We start from the raw sequence: 3861 nt of genomic DNA on the forward strand, positions 1-3861 counted from the left end.
CAGTGATTCTCCTGACCAGCCTCCTGGGTAGCTGAGATTACAGGCACATGCCACCGCGCCTGGCTAATTTTTGTATTTTTAGTAAAGACAGGGTTTCACCATGTTGGCCAGGCTGGTCGTGAATTCCTGACCTCAGGTGATCCACCTGCCTTGGCCTCCCAAAGTGCTAGGATTACAGGCATGAGCCACCATGCCCAGCCCTTTCTTTTCTTTTGTTATTCAAATTATTTTCACAATAAAGGGCCAAGTTTTATGAAAAGCAGAATTGCCTTCTGTAAAGAACATAAAGTTGTTGTGTTTCAGTTTCTCATATGCCAAGCTGTTACATCAAAGCTAAAGCTTGTCAATGTTGAATAGAAAGTTAAATTATTTAACTTAAAAACACTAATCAATACTAATCAAAAGATTCATTGTAAGCTACTTTAACAAAGATTCATACTACACGTATAATAATTCAACTTATATGTATACTATAAAACTATAAAAACTAAAAAAACATGGATACTATAAAAACTAAAAAAAACTAATCAATACTAATCAAAAGATTCATTGTAAGCTACTTTAACAAAGATTCATACTACACGTATAATAATTCAACTTATATGTATACAATTGACTTAAAATATATTTTCTATAAAAGTATGCTTCTTAGCTAGTCATAAAATATTGACTGGATAAAGGAATCAGTCTTAGAGATGGTACTTTCTACATGGTACTTCTACAAGCAATTAAATACAATATTGTAGGCCGGGCATGGTGGCTCACTCTTGTAATCCTAGGACTTTGGGAGGCTGAGGCGGGTGGATCACCTGAGGTCAGAAGTTTGAGAACAGCCTGGCCAACATGGTAAAACCCTGTTTCTACTAATAATACAAAAAAAAATTAGCTGGGTGTGGTGGCACGTGCCTGTAATCCCAGCTACCTGGGAGGCTGAGGCAGGAGAATCGCTTGCACCTGGGAGGCAAAGGTTGCAGTGAGCCGAGATAGCATCACTGCACTCCAGCCTGGGTGACAGAGTGAGACTCCATCTCAAAAACAAAATAAAAAAAAAACAAAAAAATATTGTAAATCATCATTAACAGAATAAACAAGAATATTTGTTATTGGGCATATTGTAACACTGGGGAAAATAGCGTTTGAAATAGGCAATGTTGACATGCATATTTCGGTATGTTCAAGGCCTTAATGATTACTTTGCATTTCACTTTCTCAAGATGGAAGTCTCTAAGGTCAGGCTTCTTAGTTGTTTGTGTCATTACATCTCTTCATTCCTTTACATTGCCTGTGGAAGGCTCTGAAATGTGAAATGCCACTTAGAATCTGAAATAGCTTTATTTGTTTATTTTTTTAACGTTGAATTTGGGGTACTAGGAGGTAGGTAGGGAAGATCTGGTGGACTCGTATCTTCTAGAACTATCCAAAGAAATATTTCTTTTTTTGTCATGTGGCTTTTCAGAACTTGAACAAATTGTCTGTTTTTGTGTTTTTTTTTTTAATAGAATGGGCCATGACTAAACTCAATTGCCTAGTCAGTAACTAATTTGATATAAGTCTTATGGGAGGTGCCAATTAAGCATAATGTAAAAATTTTCATGTTCAGCAGTGGCAGACTACGAGTTAAAGTGTTGGGTCTTTGGCGCTTTCCCTCTGTGTTATGGAAAAAGGAAAAAGAGATGACTTTAGACTAGTGGTTCTCACAGTATGGTCCCTGGACCAGCAGTAGGGACATCATCTGAGAACTTACCTAGAAATGTAAATTTTAGGGCCCTTCCCTGATTGATTCTAATGATTGACAGACAGGATCTTTAAAATGTCTTCATGCAGGTGGGCCTTTGGGTAACCCTTAAGTCATAGAGCACAGGCAACCATGAGGTTGTTTAGGATTAGAAGAAATCTTGTCAAGTTGTATCTCTGTCTCCCACCTTGTAGGAAAGGACTATACTCCCATGCAGCCAGCCTAGTTGAAAATATGTATTTTAAACTGTTTTTAAAAGATTCCACAGCTTCAAAAATTGATTTGCCCCAAATTTAACAGCCCTTTTCATCTGGAAATTTATTATATGGCTTAATTAAGGCAAACCACTCTATTGTTCTATTTTAAAACAAATTTAATGGAAAACTGCTTAATATCCCCTCCCTTTCCTTTGAACACTTGAAAAACATTTTTATTTTATTTTTTTGATACAGAGTCTTGCTGTGTCACCCAGGCTGGAGTGCAGTGGTAGTGCAATCTTGACTCACTGCAACCTTCGCCTCCCAGGTTCAAGTGATTCTCATACCTCAGCCTCCCTTTTAGCTGGGATTTCAGGTGTGTGTCATTGTGCCTGGCTAATTTTTATGTTTTTAGTAGAGACAAGGTTTTACCATGTTGGTCAAGCTGGTCTGGAACTCCTGGGCTCAAGTGATTTGCCTGCCTTAGCTTCCCAAAGTGCTGGGGTCACAGGCCTGAGCCACCGCGCCTGGCCAGGAAAACTTTTATTTTAAATAGGCTACTTGCCTTTTATACTGCATGCTTATTCATGTAATCCTTTGTTTCTAAGTTTATCTTTTCAAGATTTATTTCCCAGCAAATGTAACTCTATAGAAATTAACCTAGTCTCCAATTGGAAACGTGTTGAAGCAAAGTCCCCCTTTTGCATGAGGTTAGAAAATGACAGTACTTCGGGTATAAAATTAGTTCCTTAATCCTCCCCCAAGGTGTACCATTTTGTGCTTCAACTTGTATGGCCTATAAACCTTGAGGAATTTTATTGTCTTTGAACATTATCCAGCAAATCTCCTCTAATTAATTTAATCCCTACAGACATATACTTGTTGATCAGTACAAATCAAGGCCAAAAATATCAGTCCTGCTTGGAAAGCTGCTTTTGGCAAGAAGACTCTTGATTCTGAGTTGTTTTGAGCTCATGCAGCAAAGGTACTCAGGAAGGCTTTTACCTCACCCTACTCCCATTTCATTAGTGACAACTGGCAGACACGAGAATCTTCATGTATGTGCTCATCCCTCTGGCTTCCTTCTCCCACCTGCTAATGGAAATTGTTAACATTACTTTATTTGCAGAAATAGTCTTAGAATAATTAGAGGGCCAACCATCCTGAGAATCACTTAATACAGCCTATTGGCTTAAATCAATTTTCCTCTAAAGGGTAGTGTGGATGAATGCCTTTTGTTTGTTCGTTTGCTTGTAAGGACTTCCAGCCTTGAAAAACCATTGTCTTTACAGATAACACAGTTCCATGATTAATAACACACTTTGTCAAGAAAGTTTCCCTAATGGGTAAACTCAGTACCTTCCACTGTATCTCAAGATCATTGCCTCTGCCTTGCCTTCTTCATGCCTAAAAGTCCAGCAGTAAGTCATCCTTTAGCTTTTTTGTCCTTTGATGCAATTATCCTGATTTTCTTTCATCATTTTCCATCTATCTGTTTCTGGCTTTCTACATTTCTCTTAATTCTTTCTAAACTCTTCATATAAAACAGATTTATTATTTTGTAGGATCAAGACAGTGCTAACCTGAGTGGGTAGATGGATTACCTAATGATTCTTGGATATATTTTTATTCTTATATCCCAGAGTCACACTACAAAAATCATAGATTACTGTGATTCCTTTATCCATTCTTCAGATACTTACGTGTGGATTTAGATATTTTATCTTTTTCCAGCCTGTTTTATATGTTGGTAGACAAATAGAAAACGTTCTTATTGATTGCTTTTAAAAGTACAGAATTTGAAGCTATAGTGTGTACACACAATGCTTTACTCAGACCAATTATACAATTATATCAGAGGTTGGTAAGCTTTTTCTTTAAAGGAGCAGATAGTAAATAATTTAGGTTTGTAGATCATAAAGTCTTGTT

The sequence above is a fragment of the Homo sapiens genome, chromosome 3, assembly GCF_000001405.40.
Source record: "Homo sapiens chromosome 3, GRCh38.p14 Primary Assembly".
Lineage (NCBI taxonomy): Eukaryota > Metazoa > Chordata > Mammalia > Primates > Hominidae > Homo > Homo sapiens.